We start from the raw sequence: 15,325 nt of genomic DNA, 5'->3' as shown, positions 1-15,325 counted from the left end.
GCAAAAGTAACAATGGCCAATATGTAAACAAGTGGGTGTGGCTGGATCCCAGTAAAATTTTATTTATGGATATTAAATTTAAATGTCACATAATTTTCATGGGTCACAGATAATATTCATTTTGTTTCCTCTCAACCATTTAAACACGTAACAAGCAGTCATAGCTTGTTGGCTGTACAAAAGTAGGTGGCAGATGCATTAAGCTGTAGGTTGCTGATCCCCACCTTACAATATCATGTGGAAAACTGGCTTAGGCAGAGTTGGGGTGAATCAGGTATAATTTTTTGGTGGGGTGAAGGGAAAATGATGTAAGAGGAATTTGATACCCCTTTGTCTTACTGCTTTCATTCTGAACATTAACCCGTAGATCGATCATGTCATCTCAAACTAAATTGATCATTAGTGCAGTATTTCTCAGCATTGGCGTTGTTGACATTTTGAGCCAGATAATTCTTTGCCGAGGTGGGGGGTGCGGGGGTGGGGTTCTATGCATTATAGATTTAGTAGCATCCCTGACCTCCACTAGTTAGATGCCAGTAGCTCCTCTCCTCTTTGCAGTTTGATAACCAAACACAACTCCAGACATTGCCACGCACCCAGCTGAGAACCACTGAGCAAGTGAAACAGCCTCAGAATGACAGGAAATTCAGCAAACCCTTAGCAACCAACTAACTGGGATGGAGGAGAAGCACGCATGTATGTGTATGCACATGTGCCTGTGTGTGGGTATCTCCAGACAGGGCAGCCTTCTCTGGATTCCCACAAATTTCAGGCAAATCTGGAAAGAATATGGGAGGAAAGAGAAGTGAGTAATTTACCTTCTTAATGACAAAAGTGTAATCACAAATAATGCGTTGCCTGAAGGGGGCACTCCCTCAGGGAAGACTCCAGTCCAGTCATTAGCAGGGTGTTTCTAATTATCGAATAATCAAGTCAGGCTCCACAGTGAGTAAACGGGGCTCCAGGCTTTTAATAAGGCCCTTATTGTGTGATTACCCTTTGAATGCCAATTGAAAGTTTTTCTGTTTTTAGTAGAGGACAAATATTTCATTCTTTCTGTGAAAAAGAAACCTCGGTAGGAATTGAATCATTTCACTTCCTGACCAGCACAGAAAAAAAAGATAAAGAAAGGAGAAAAAAAACATGTCTTTTTTAAAAGGAGGCAATGGAATGCTTGAATTCAAAGAAAAAGTTGCATGTACTGCTTTAACCTGGGTTTTCAGGTTTTTTTTTTTTTTGAAATGGAGTCTTGCTCTGTCGCCCAGACTGGAGTGCACGCACAATCTCGGCTCACTGCAACCTCTGCCTCCTGGGCTCAAGTGATTCTCCTGCCTCAGCCTCCTGAGTAGCTGGGATTACAGGCACGCACCACCGTGCCCAGCTAATTTTTGTATTTTTAGTAGAGATGGAGTTTCACCATGTCACCTAGGCTGGTCTTGAACTCCTGACCTCAGGTGATCCACCCGCCTTGGCCTCCCTGGGTTTTCAGTTATTAACAGAAAATGTTGAACCGAGACCTGTGGTAGTGAAGAGACTGGAGATTGTTTAGAGTGTGGCCTTCAGGGTATTATGAAATGCTATCTATGATAGATATTGTATTGAGAACTTATTTAAACACACAAAAAAGCATGGACTGACTGAGACAGTTGGCATGGCTTTTTACCATTCTGTACTCGTTCTTAGTAATTGCAGATGAAACTGACATAGAGATGAGTAAGTAGCAGTTTAGCCATCGAGACAAGTAAATGCCATTAGATTTTCATACTGGGGCAGATTTCTAAGTCAAGGTTCATCTATTTGCCAAGAGTCTCCCCACTCATAGCCACCCCTTGGAAAACCAAAATTTAAAACTGAACTAAAATAATCAAAACACCTCGTGATCCTGTGAAGAAAATTAATAGGAATCACCCAAGTGGGTGACTGTTCCTTCTTCACTCATTTGCCACAAATCAGCTTGTTTTTATTTGCCTCAGAACTCCCATTAAATAAAATTTGTCTTGTAGCCCACAGATCATTTCCCATGACCAAAACGCAGATCTGTCTTCTTTTCCTACTAAAGAATCTGAGCTATGTTTCTTTTCAACAAATCCCTATTCCCTGACCCATATTCTACATTTCACCATGTTTTGTCTACTTGTCTTCTGATTCCAGCTGTGTCATTTTAGTTATCACGCCTTTGTGTCTCAGGACAAACATCGTAGAGTGGGAGCGAGTCAAGGATGCCGACGACACGACATTAACCCGAACTGGGCAGCTACATGCCGGCATCCTAACCAATGACCTCCACCCACTCACTGTTGACAGGAGCATTTTTTTTCCTTCTAATGCATATTTTAGTCTTGATTGACCATCAACCATATGACAGGGTTGTCCTGTGGGCAAGTTTATTATTAACAGCTCACAGCTGGAGTTACAATAACTACACACGGCTGTGACATTGCACTAATTGACGAAGACACATCTGAGAACAAGACACAGAAAGTGGCCATTGCAAATTACTTCAAGCACAAATGGAGGATTTAGTGGGAAACACCAGTTTCAGATTAGAGGCTTCTATATGTTGAGACCAGATTGGTGCAGGGAGAGGGGCTGGCTAGAGAAGGGGAAAGCAAGGTTGATAAGTCACGCAAAGGCTTCTTTTGAGCCTCCATTAGGTTCCTATTTCTATAAATTATTCTAAACAGATCCCTGTTAATGAGAAAGAAACAACTGCACTTAAGTGGAATTAATCCTGAATTTTTAAGTGCTCAGACAATTAAATCACTAAATCCATCGGGTGCCTTCCATTCATATTTCCCTGTCTAATCCTGCTGTCACAGGCGAGGCTGGGCGAGGTCTAAGAACAGTATGTGCTGTGATGGCTACATCACTTAGCATTAGAGTCAAAGAAGCCGAGTTTGGAGGGGACCTGGGTTTGTCTGTACAGGTGAGTGGAGTGATGGGGGCAGGGACACTAGCTAGGGATTGTGCATGAGTTAACTGGCTACCGCTGGCTCCTCTGGGGGAAGGCTCCTGAAAAGTTATGAAATGTGAATAGGCTGTCTGTGCATCTCTCAGTAAATTTCTTTCTCAGATGTTTCCAGCCAGGGCGACTCGATTGAGAAATGACTGGGAGAGAACAGAGGATAAAGCCAATGAGCTCAGTGTCTTATAAATCAGCCGCACCGAGCTGAACTGGAACTGTCAAACTGTGGCAAAACCTGCTGCTGTGCAAGCTTGTGAGGCTTTTCAAAAACAAAACTTAACCCTCGCCTGGCTCTCTAGATGGGAGAGGGCTTAATTAAAGTTCGCAGAGGAGTGAGGAGTGGAAAAAGAAATATAGTTTTCTCAGAAAATAAAAAAGAACAAACTCAAGGGAGCCCATATGTGACACGTCCCCATTCTGACTTGGCTCAGGCACAGGATTACAAGTGGGGCCATGCAAAATAGCTAAGTGCTGTCATTAGTAAATCCTGCCTAGAGGTCCAGTATTACTCTGTGCTCCAAAGCAAAACTAATCAAATCACCCGGAATTCTCCCAATAATGTTACCCCTAGTTTATGGATGAGGAGACTGAGGCACAGGGAAGGTGAGTCCTTTGCCTAAGGTCATATAGCTCCATAAATGGAAGAGGTAAATAGGATTTGAACCTGTGAAGTCTGGCACCGGAATCCATGCTCCCAATCACCATGCCATCAGTCTCTCTTTGGGGACATCACAGACCCCAAGTTAATAACCCCTGCTCTAGGCAATAGAACAGTAGGCAGGTCTGATCCTGACACTTCGTTTTCTGAGAGTCCTGCTCAGACATTCTGTGTCTCAAGTGTATCCAGCGTCTGGATCTGTGCCTTTGATGCTTAACTACCTATACTTGTCTGGAGTTATGTTAGTGCCTTCCCCCACCCGAGTCTCCATACCAAATGCTGAAAATCAGCTTTGAATTTGGAAGCAGAGGATTTGGGAGGAAGACTCACTGAGGTTTCCCATGGCAACTGTAAGTCAGCCAGATTGCATGGTCTCCATCCAGGTGAAGGCGTGAAGGTCACTCCCTTGTGCACCAGAAAACAAGGCCTGTGTACCAGGCTTGAAGTTGCATTACTGTTGCTAGGGAGACCATAATTAAATTTCCTGAATTACACACAGTGCGATAAAATGTTGAATAACCATATTTATTTGCCTTCTAGGCCCTGTGGCATCTGTTGTTTAGTTCACAAAGCTCCTATTGACTGAAGGAGAGGTTTATTGATCCAGAAAGCTGTGATGGGCCCATGAGGCAGTGGGAGCTGGAGGACTCCTGGGTAGGGCTGAGAATTCTCATCTAGTTCAGCAATCACTAGCCAAATGGTCTGGCATGGGAAAATCCGTGGAGACAGCCTGAGACTCTGGCATGAAATTGATCCCTCTCTTTCCTGATGTTCTCACTTCTTGATTCAGGGGAAGAAGGAGATGGTGTGGGAAAGTGGTGGTATGGAAAAGGAGGGGTAGCAGGAAGGAGGCAAAGGGGGTTGGTTAGAGACAAGCGGTGGAAGGGGGTTGGAGAGCTATGGACAGAGCTCATGTGTCCTGTTCACATGCACAGGGGTGAACATGAGGCACTGTCTAGGGATGGGCATTACTCCGGGCATGGATACACAGGTGAATGAGACACAGTCCAGCCCTCGAGGAGCTCACCAAATAGTTGGTTCCCTAGATACTTAAATCTTATAAGAACTTTACAAGCAGAGAACTATTGGAAGGAGAGGAAGGGCCCCTTAGCTCTGATGAGCAGGTTGGGAAAAGATCTGCGGATTTGGTGATGGTGAAGTGAGCTCTTAAAAGATGAATAGGAATTCAGTGGGTGATTGGCTTATTGAGCTCAGGAAATGGTGTAGGTAAAAACACAAGCAGAGAGGGGGCAAAAACCTCAGATGCTGGGTATTCTCTGAACTGGCCATCTCCAGTGACCCTGATGTACCCTGAAACCCCAGAAGTTTTCAGGCATATGCAACCCAGATGACTATGAACCAAAAAGTCAGTCAGTCACAGGCCCTTGCCTGCGGTTCCCTGCCTGGCCAACCTGTCCTCCCTTCACCCAGGGAGCTGCAGAGGGCAGCATGGTGGCCTTCCCCTTGTCGAAGCAGGTAGCCCAGGGAGCCCAAGGGGGCAACGATGGATCTGGATGGGAACCACATGACCAGGTAAGAAGGAAAGAGAGTTGATGGCTTGAAAGTGAAGAGTCCATTCCATAGTAGTTTGAATTTCATTTTAAATATTTTTTTTCCCTAAAACTTCTCAAAATATTTACTGGCATTGCCACTCCTAAGTTAGCAAATGAATGGGTGACTTCTCTGGAGCAGAGGAACATAGAGCAAAGGAAGGAGAAGCGTAGGGGGATTGGGCTTCATACAGGAGCTCACTGAAGCACAGAACCCTATCTTTCGGAACAGAGTCACAGAGGTGCGACAGAAGCGGGTTTTGCTGCCTGAAGTTCAGCAGTGTTTCAATTAGAAATCAGTTCTAATTGAGGCATTGGAGCTCTCTAACCCATCATAGTGTGGAGTGATTTCTCGCCTGGCTTCAATTTGGTTGTTTCAATTACTGAGGTAATAATATAGTCACACCTCCATTACTCCAAGGTATGCTTCTTCTTAATTTATCTTTGTATTCACCATTGGACTTTCTAAATAATCTGTTTTTAGTGTTGTTCAGTCTACCCTGCTGAAGAAGATGTTTAGAAATGTTTTCTTCCAAAATAACAAGATGAAGAAGAAATGACTTCTTCCCGTTATTTATTTATTTATTTTTTGAGACGGCGTCTCACTCTTGTCCCCCATGCTGGAGTGCAATGGCGTGATCTCGGCTTTCTGCAATCTCCACCTCCTGGCTTCAAGCAATTCTCCTGCCTCAGCCTCCCAAGTAGCTGGGACTACAGGTGCCCACCACCATGCCCAGCTAATTTTTGTATTATTAGTAGAGACGGGGTTTCACCATGTTGGCCAGGCTGGTCTCAAACTCCTGACCTCAGGTGATCTGCCCGCCTGGGCCTCCCGAAGTGCTGGGATTATAGGCGTTAGCCACCATGCCTGGCCTCTTCTCTCTATTTTTAAGCTTTTTGTTAGAGAAATTTCAAGAAGTCATCCACAGTAGAGAGCAGGGCACCGAGAACCCACAGGTGCCCGTCATCCAGCCTTCACGGCAGCTCAAGGCTGATCTGATTTCCTCTCTCCCCAAGCCCTCTCCCCTGTTCTTCCATGGCCCACCACCCCCATCCACTGGATTGTTTTGAAGCAAATACCAGACATCATGTCATTTTATTTATAAATCCTTCAGTATGTATCTTGATAAGGACTTTAAAAAATGTGTAATTACCATGCGTCATCACACCTAAAAAATAGGATTGGATTTCCAGTCAGTTTTAAAATTTCTGCAGTTAATTAGCAAATGTCCATTTACTAATAAGCAGGACAAACCTATACACTGGATTTGGTTGTTGTGGCTCTTAAATATATTTTAATCTGTAGCTTCTCTTTCCCGCTGGCTTTTTTCCTTGCAATTTATTTGTTTAAAAAACTAAGTTATTTGCACTGTAGAGTTTGCCACATTCTGAATGTATTAATATCTAATAAAATGATACATCTAGGGGACCATATTTAATAGCTGTGAAACCATTAGGTGAAAGGCCAACAGGAAACATTCTATTGGATAAGGCTGATGATCCTGGAGCCCTCTGGGCAATCCTAACATCCCCGAACAATCTGATGTGTACATTACCTCCTAGAGTGAATTCTTACCCAAAAATTTAACTTGAAACTGATTGAGCCTATAGTTCTCAAAACCACTTTATAGAAAATACAAGGGACAGAAAAGAAAATCACATGATAGGCTTCCCCCACTTATTTTAACGTAGCAAGCATTTATTTAAAATTTCCTTGGTTGCTCTGTTATTAACAGGCAGTATATTGTGATGTTTTCTCCAAAGGTTACTGAGGACTAAGGTGTATTTACTCCTCACTAAATGGACTCAGACTGCTGTAATTTTGTGGTTCTTTTGCCTGGTTTTTGTAGATTTTAATCTACTTCTAATGAGGACTGACTGTACTGTAACAATTTTCACATGCCTCAGTGACCTTCCTTCTTGGTCTTCCTCCTCCACCTTGGCCCCTGCCCACAGGTTTTTTTCCATTTTACTATGGATTAAGAAACCGAACATTGATCCTTGTAAAACCTGTAAAGGTTAAATAGCTCTCAGTGAAAGCTAAATAAAGGCTTCTATTAGTAAACACACAAATATTAGTGACAGGACTTTAGCAAGAATCATTGAGATTTTTGACTTTTTTCCTGTCTGAACAGCAGAAGCATCTGGATAGATGAGATATAACCCTGGTGTTGCTAAACTGATCACGTTGGATAGAAAGTTCAGTCATAACATGCAACAGTAAGCCTTAGCTGTGCATAGGAAAGGTGGAAAAATTCCGAGTTAACAAAACCCAGGAGCACACACAATCCTGAAAATCCCACAGGAATGTAACCTAGATGAGATCCTTAAGGATAAACAAATGCCACATTTCACTTCCTGACAGGTCACATTCTATGGGTCCTGCTTGGCCATTCTGTGTGTCTCTTGTTGGCAGCACCTTCTTCTTAAAATATCCTCTTCCTTTGGATTCCATGACCTGACATTCTAATTTTCTCCCACCTCTTGGGACTCTCCCCAGTCTCTTTCCTGGCTCATTCTCCTCTTGCTTACCATTAAATATTGGAGAATTTCAAGGCTTGATACACTGCCCTCTTCTCCTTCACATTCTACACCCTCCCTCCGTGACCTCGTTCGTACTCATGGTTTCAATTATTATCTATATGCTGGTGACTCTTAAATTTATATCTCCAGCTTAGGCTCTCCTCTGAGCTCCCAATCATAAATCCCATGGCCTATTCCACATCTCGACTTGGCCATCTCACAGCACTTCAGACTCTGCATGTCCAAACACTGAACTCATGCCTTCTTCCTCAAACCCATTCCTCCCCCAGCATTCCACCTCAGTAAACAGCAGCGCCATCCAAGATGAGCAAATCAGACACTTGGCAGCACCCTGGACACCTCCCTCCCGCTCACTGCCATATTCAGTGAATCAGTGAAGTGCTGTTAATTCTCATTTCCAAATCTAGCCATGTCTCTTCATCTTCACAAATGCCACCGTAGTCTGAGCTCTCACAGTCTCATTCCTGGGTTACCTGGAGAGCTTCCTACTCTCCCCACATCCTCTCTGTGTCCAACCTATTCTGCAGCCAGGAGCCTTTAAAAAATATATAAATCTGCTTATAACTTCATCATCTTCCCAGTGCCTTGAAAAAAAAAACCAAACTCCTGGCTTACATGGACCTGTGTTATCTGGGTTCTACCTCCTTCACCAGCCTCATTTCACAACCCTTTTCTTGTTCTCTGGGATCTACTCATCCTGGTCCTCAGGTCAGGCCTCAGGACCTTTGCACAGGCAGTTGCCTCTGGTAGGATTGCTTTCTTCTCTTGACCTGGTTAATTTCTATATGTCTTTCTGAACTTACTTCTTTTAGGAAGTAAAAGAAGTACTTTTACCTTTTACAGACTACCGGCTGCTGGTAGGTCTTCCTAATGTCATGTTCACAGACCTCATTCTTTATGATTGAATCACCTTTACAGGTGAGGAAACAGAAATGTTAAGTAACTTGCTTGGGGGTCCAGGTAGTGGCTTTGTGAAAACACACAATGGATCATTTTCACTTTAATAGCAGCTACATCTCTTGTCAACGATTAGAGTTCTGTGTCAAGTTTTGGTTTCTAAATGATGTGTAGATGCTGGAATGAGTTGAGAGAAAAGAAACAAGCTAATTAAAGAGTAGATGAGTAGGACCTTTGAAGAAAGAGCAAAGGAGGTGGGGATTGTTTAATATGGTGTGGGGACATGGGAAGAAAACCGGATTTAGAGTTTTCAAGTTTGGGGAGGTTATTACAGCAGAGATGGCAATAAAAATACTTTTTGACTGGCCATGGGGTACAGAAGATGATATTTCTCATCTCTATAAAGATGAGAAATTGTAGCTGGAGGGGGTTTGGTTTCACAAAAGAAAGGGTGATTAAAGATTTGAACAAGACACAGAGTTAGTTTCTAGAATGTCTTTTTGCAGATGTGGTTAAAAGCAGGATCAATAGCCTTCTAATTCACCTGGTGGCTCAGGCATTGACCTATTTCAGGCAGGGAGCTGGGCCTGCTGACCTCCTGAGGTTGTTTTGAATGAATGACTAACTGAATGAATGAATGAATGAATGAATGAATGAGAAAGTGAACCTTGCCATCTGTCACAGGCTAGATTGTGCCTCTGCCCTGCCTGGCATGGAAAAAGAAATATTGAGTGACATGCGTCCCTAAGGTTTCCTCAGCTGATCACACTCAGTTGGCCTTATCTGCCACACAGGTGTTTCCATTTATTGCTGATAAACTGTCGGCTGAGAGTCAGCTTTGGGGTAAGAGGTGGGGGAATGAGTGGAGGAAAGGGTAATACCCCAGATGTTTTCCAAGAAGACGGGAGAAAGTTATTCCTCAGTACTAATACATTTCGTCATCCTATCTGCCTGCAGATGTTAAATTTGGGAACACTTCCAGGTTCTCTTTTTGCTCTTAAAATAAAATAAGTTGTGTATTTAAAAACATCCAGGACCCAGTCTTCCCTGGGGATGTATCTCTTTTGCATATGGATGAAGCTTTGGGGACTTAAGAGGATCCTAAATTTTACTGGCTATGTTTCTTGCAGCCTCACCAGTCCTGTCAGGTTTCTCTGTCAGAAACCAGGAAAAATGAAAATAATCAGAAGTGCCAATTACTGAGTGCCTACTGTGTGTCATACAAAATTAAATCACCATGGCAATACTGCAAGGGCCGTATTAACATCCATTTTACCCTTGGGGAGTTCACCCAAAGATTGTCATTTCTCCAAGTTCACAAAAGTGCTAAGTAGCCAAACCTGGTTCAAACCCAGGTCTGTGTAACTTCAAATAATAATGGCAACATTTTGAGAGCTTTCTAGTGTCCCAGTCACTCATTAAATCCTATGGAGGAGGCACTATTAGGTCCTTCTGAAGGTAAGGAAACTGAGGCATAGGTCATACAGCTAGTAAACGCAGAGTAGAGAGTCAAAGCCCCAGCAACCTGGCTTCAGAGCTTATGACCCTGTACTGATTTCCATCCCCTTTCAACACTGCATAGAGAACTTGGGTTGCCTGGATGCAAGCTTTAGTTAAATGATCTCAGCTTCAGTATCTCGAGTAAGAAACCTTTCTTCCCTGTGTTGTCTTATCTTTCCATTGATCTTCTGTTGTGGGAGCAGCTGCAGGCTCCCCACCCTGTGAGAGCTTTCGTGTGCCAAGTCATTGGCTACAGGTGGCAAAGTTGTGGCTCCAGTTCAAGTCTCTCCCCTGGAGCTGGATGTTCCAGAAAGGACACTCAGTTCTTCAGGGCTGTCTCTGTGATCCAGGCTTTGATCTGGGAAAGGTTGCGCCTCATTGCAGAGTTGAAGCTATCTGCCTGCTTTGTTTACACGAACGCCCTTCCAGGACTCTGTCTGCTTTTGGGGTGGAAGTGCCCTGCCAAAAACTCCAGCTCTCCATGCTGGCTGTGTGGCCAGCATACCTCCTGCCTTTTCAACGATTCCTCTGCCCTGGATAGAGAGCGGTGTCTCATAACAGTTTGGAAACTACAAAAGTTTCCCTGGCAGGATGAATGATTGACTCGGCAACATGTTCTTGCCTTTTGGAGTTGCCCTCCAATTTTTCCAGGCTTGATTCTGTAAATCATTTCATCTTGTAAAAATACTGGGCTGTGAGCACGGATGATCTCAAAGGTGAGGATTATTTGAAACTCCATTTGAAAATCTATCCTCCTTTCAACAGATTATTCTTGTGAATAAAAATTTTCTTGTGAGCATGCCAGTACACAGGTAGTTCTAGGGCCTTTGAGAGGAAGTAGAATACGCTTCTGCTCCAAGAGGCTTTGGAAAAAGTAACTTGTCTATATATTGACAACTAATTTATCATCGAAAACATTAGGCCTGCTCTCTGCAAGTGCTCCTGGGAGGTGTTGGGGAATGAAGTGGGGAAAATTCGGAAATGTTTTGAAAGATATGTCAAACCCATAAACCTGAAAATGTCATTCAGAATATTCTGTTGCTTTCTGCCATCCCAAGGAGATGGAAATCTGTGGTTTTCAAGATAGGTTAAGGTTATGTAACTCACAGAGTTGGAAGAACATTTTGGGCAATGATTTGAATTATTGCTTGTTGTAGTTTTTGCTCATTTTTCCCTTTTTCCAACAATGAGAGAGAATCGGTTGAAGGCAGGCTGTGACAGAGAAGGTCCAACAACCATAAGTTGATGGATGATATCAGAGAGGAAGCTTCTTTGACATCTCTGCTCTTCTTTAACTTGCTGACCAAAGAGTAGCCCATGTGCAATTGCCATATGCTTTTGAAATGAACATTCATGAATATTAGAAATTATCTTGCTGGTTTTTGGAGTGAAGGCAAATGTGCCTACTTTTCAGCCATACTTAGGAGACCTAACTCATTTTTTAGAGTATCTACAATTTAGTGTGATCCAATGAGTTAAAAAAAATGTACCCAAATATTCGGTTTAAAATTTTGTTTTAGATATGAAATCCTTTCATCAAGCTATACCCTAGAAAGGTAATTTCATAAAGTATATTTGTAATGTTATAATGATTAAAACTGATCACAACGTGATATAAATGGATTAGCTAGGGGAGAGAAAAGAAGACCTGAAAATCTTCTATATGTTTGTGAAGCATTAAAAAAAATGACATTCCATTTAACTCTCACAAAATTTTTTCTTTTTTGCAGATGAGGAAACAGAAGCTGGGATATGTGAGTAAACATTTCCAAGGTCCTGCAGCTAATCAATGGTGAGCTTGCGAAGAAACCCATAGCTTTCAAACTTTGAAACTGATGCTCCTTAGATTAACCAGGCTACCTCACTTACTAACTAAGTGAAATCATCATGGAGGGCTCCTTGTCCACCTCTTTGCAATGACCCTAAGGATCTGAGACATACCTACCTCTCGACAAAGACAATAACATCATATCTAGGAGGGGCAGTAGATTGATTCTTGAATTAGGCTGCTTGAGCTAGTACTCTCGCTCTGCTGTTCACATGCTATGTGGCTTGGGGGCAAATTACTGAAACTCTTTGTACTTCAGTTCCCTAATCTGTGAAAAGAAAAAAAAAGTGTGGATAATACATATACCCAACTCATAGGTTTTGTGAGAATTAAATGAAATGGCAAGTGGTTTGCCTAAGGCCTGGAAAAAATAATTATTCAATATATCTATACATTTTCTCATTTTATTTGGAGCTTGCATTATGTTTAGTTATTAATTTCTTTAGCAGAAAGCCACCTAGAAAAAAGCATGCAGGTTTCTTACGAGAGGAAAAAATAAACGCTTGTGAGCACAATTAGATATACGAAGGAAGACGTGGGTAACCCGGTCTGGGAGAGCATTGGTAAGGTGGCTGATCATGCTTTCTTGTTTTTGTTTTTTCTCAAACAAATTAGAGATTCCAAATTAAGGAGCAAGACTAGAACAAAGGTGAAAATTGTGAAAAATTTCTGTGAAGCCCAATGCTCTATAGTAACCAGTTAGCAAAAAGCTATTCAGGAGAAAGGAACTAGACTAACGCAATGTCTTTTTGCTATAGCTAATTCAATCACTGTCATTACCACCAGCATATTTTCAGAAAAGAGAATATTTAAAAGACTCAATTCTGTTAAAAGTTGGGTACCATATAGTCTCAAAAGTGAGCTATGAAATCCTGTCCCAAGCCAGAAAAAACAAGTTCACCATCTTGCGAGAGTATTCTAAAAAAAAACTTTTTAAAACCTGTTTCTTACTAATTATTTGATTTACGTCGAACATTTTGAATTTTCCATTATGTGAAGGGTCTAAAGTCTTTTGCCAAGGGCAATGAAAATGGTGGGAAGGGAAAAAAAAAACACAAAACACCCTTTGTATAAATTTCACCAATTTCTGCACAATTAGAATACATATTAGTTTTCCTTGCATCAATAGAAAACATGCTGATGGAGGGAATCCATTCTGGATATGTCAAAATAGGACCTTTCCCAAATAACTCAGACCATTTAAAATTGCTCCTTAAAATAGAAGCTTATTTTTGCCCTTAAGATTTTGCTGTTCAGGGGTGGAGCTCTTGACCATGCTCCCTCTGCAACGCTGCATTTCAGGGACATTTTATTTATCATTTTACCTTCAGTGGTGATAGCATCCCTTGCTATTTGGGAGGTGGGGTGGGATTAATGAAAATAAAGGTTAGCTCTTCCTGATCTCTGTGGGGGCCATGTTGTCTCAGTTTTGATCATTTCCCCCAAATTAAGATTTCTGCATAACCCCCCCGTGTCTGTGTTTGGCTGGCAGTTTTATGGCTGACCAAATTGTGCACTGGCCGCTGTTCTGGTTGGCTGAATGTTTATACAGGCTGTTAATCAGACTGGGGAGGGGGCTGTGGATATGGGGACTGTCTGTGAGCCGGAGCGGTCCTGTTTGCTGTCGTGTGCAAGGGCCTGCACTTTGTTACTACAAATTACATAATGACATGTTACATTTCAAAGTGTATTTTTACTTCAGGGAAAATTAAACCAATAAACAAACAACCCTGGTGGAAAAAAAAAAAAGAAAAAATAAGATCCCTGGTTTCCAGATCTTCCTCTTCGAAAAGGTTCTTAATTAAATTGTAGCTATAAACAAATCTTTGTTTTATTGCAAAGAGAGCAATTGTGTATAAAAGCTATTTTTAAAAATTAGGATGTGAACATTTGCCGGACAAGGGTCTGGTCCGTGTTACATGTTTTATGATCTGTACAAAATGAAAAGGCAAGCTTGTGTGGTGATGGTAGATTTTCAATTTTTGATTGTTAATCCCTCTCAAATGTTGCTCCTGCCTTGCTTGAATAGAGCCTGTAAACACAGGAATTACCTTAATTTTTCCAGGTACTGATTCAAGCAAAACTGCTTAGCATAAGCATGAACTTGCCGACTCTGAATTTTTAGTCATGTAGAAAATCAGTTCTTTTCTTCATACTATCTGCATTTTAGGAACTTTGAAATTGTTAAAAAACAGAACAAAACCAACCCTCTAACTCAACGTCCAAAGTTTTCACTGCACCCTTATGCATGCAACATTAATTCTTTTCTGTAAGCTGTTGAAATTAAGCATATGTTCAGGATCCAAGATTATAATGATACTCCTTCGTGTAGTAGTTACACTCATATATTATTCAAATATGTGTGTATGTACTCGTACAAAATTTTTTTTGGAATAAACTACATTATCAAAAGAGGATGTGTTTTCACTCTCTTCTCTCTAGTTGAGTGGAGTCCTGAGAATAAGGACACCTATTAAGCTGCATTTTGTATGAGTTATTTGATCAAATCAATTCTACCCAAATCTGCTGTTATCAGAACCATTTGGCCCGGAATTCCTGGGTTTGTTCAGGTGTTTGGCTGCTACTAGGAACAGCAGCAGCCCAGGAAATGGCTGGGTGAAAGAGGGCCCCTATTATATTTTAAAAACACCCGATGATGCTCACATTTCTTAGGCAAAATTACGATGTGACTTACAATAATTTATCAGTACAATCCACAAAATGAGAAATCACAAGATGAATTGAAATAGACAGTCTAAGTCTTCCTGTTCAGTTTATTTATTTTTAAATTCAGGATGTTTTAAAAGAAACCTTTTCCCCTTAAATCTTGGAAATAAATAAAGGGGTTTTGAACCTTCAGTTAAAATGTCAGATTTCAGCAATGAATGGAAAAAAGAAAGGGTAGCAAAGTAAAGGACAGATACATAGTGGAGATTTTTGTGACTAAAAAGGGATCATTTGAGGCAATGCTTTTTGCTGGCAAAGAATGCTTTCCCTATCTCATCTTGGATTCTTGACAGTTCTGTTTGAATAATTAGCTTGGATTACTTTATTACTTATGATGGTATTCAACCCTGTCCCAAATTGACCTTCCACTTTTCAAGTGCTTGTGTTTTTGACTTCTGTTTGGGACATTCTGATGGGGCTTGACCTTGACTTTACAGTGAGCAGAAAAGACCACCAGATTTTTTCACTGGTGCTTGAGCTTACTTTCACAACTATCAGATAAAGAACAGCCCAAGGTGAAGAGTCAGATATTAATTCAGGGCTTTCATTCTATGAATGACTAATCCAATAAGAAAGAAGATTTCCATCCAAGGAAGAGTCTAGGAATTGTCTAATAAATGAAGATATGCCCATGAATAGATAAGATGCCTTCATCC

At 41.6% G+C, this 15,325-nt stretch overlaps 1 long non-coding RNA gene across 23 annotated transcripts in view; it reads left to right on the top strand.

Moving 5' to 3' along the window:
- The window catches only part of LINC03007 (long intergenic non-protein coding RNA 3007), a 196,819-nt gene that overhangs the window by 116,544 nt on the left and 64,950 nt on the right, over positions 1–15,325 (top strand). For 14 of the 23 annotated variants that reach the window (NR_157818.1, NR_157829.1, NR_157824.1 and 11 more), the window contains exons 1-2: positions 10,436–10,830; positions 11,845–11,906. This is a non-coding gene — a long non-coding RNA (long intergenic non-protein coding RNA 3007). Of the gene's footprint in view, positions 1–2,844; positions 2,927–10,435; positions 10,831–11,844; positions 11,907–15,325 lie in introns of those variants that run through there. The other 9 variants (NR_157808.1, NR_157810.1, NR_157809.1 and 6 more) reach the window with 2 other exon arrangements.

This window comes from Homo sapiens, chromosome 7 (assembly GCF_000001405.40).
Source record: "Homo sapiens chromosome 7, GRCh38.p14 Primary Assembly".
Taxonomy (NCBI): Eukaryota; Metazoa; Chordata; class Mammalia; order Primates; family Hominidae; genus Homo; species Homo sapiens.
The sequence above is the reverse complement of the archived record's forward strand: the minus strand, read 5'-3'. Positions and strand labels throughout refer to the sequence as shown.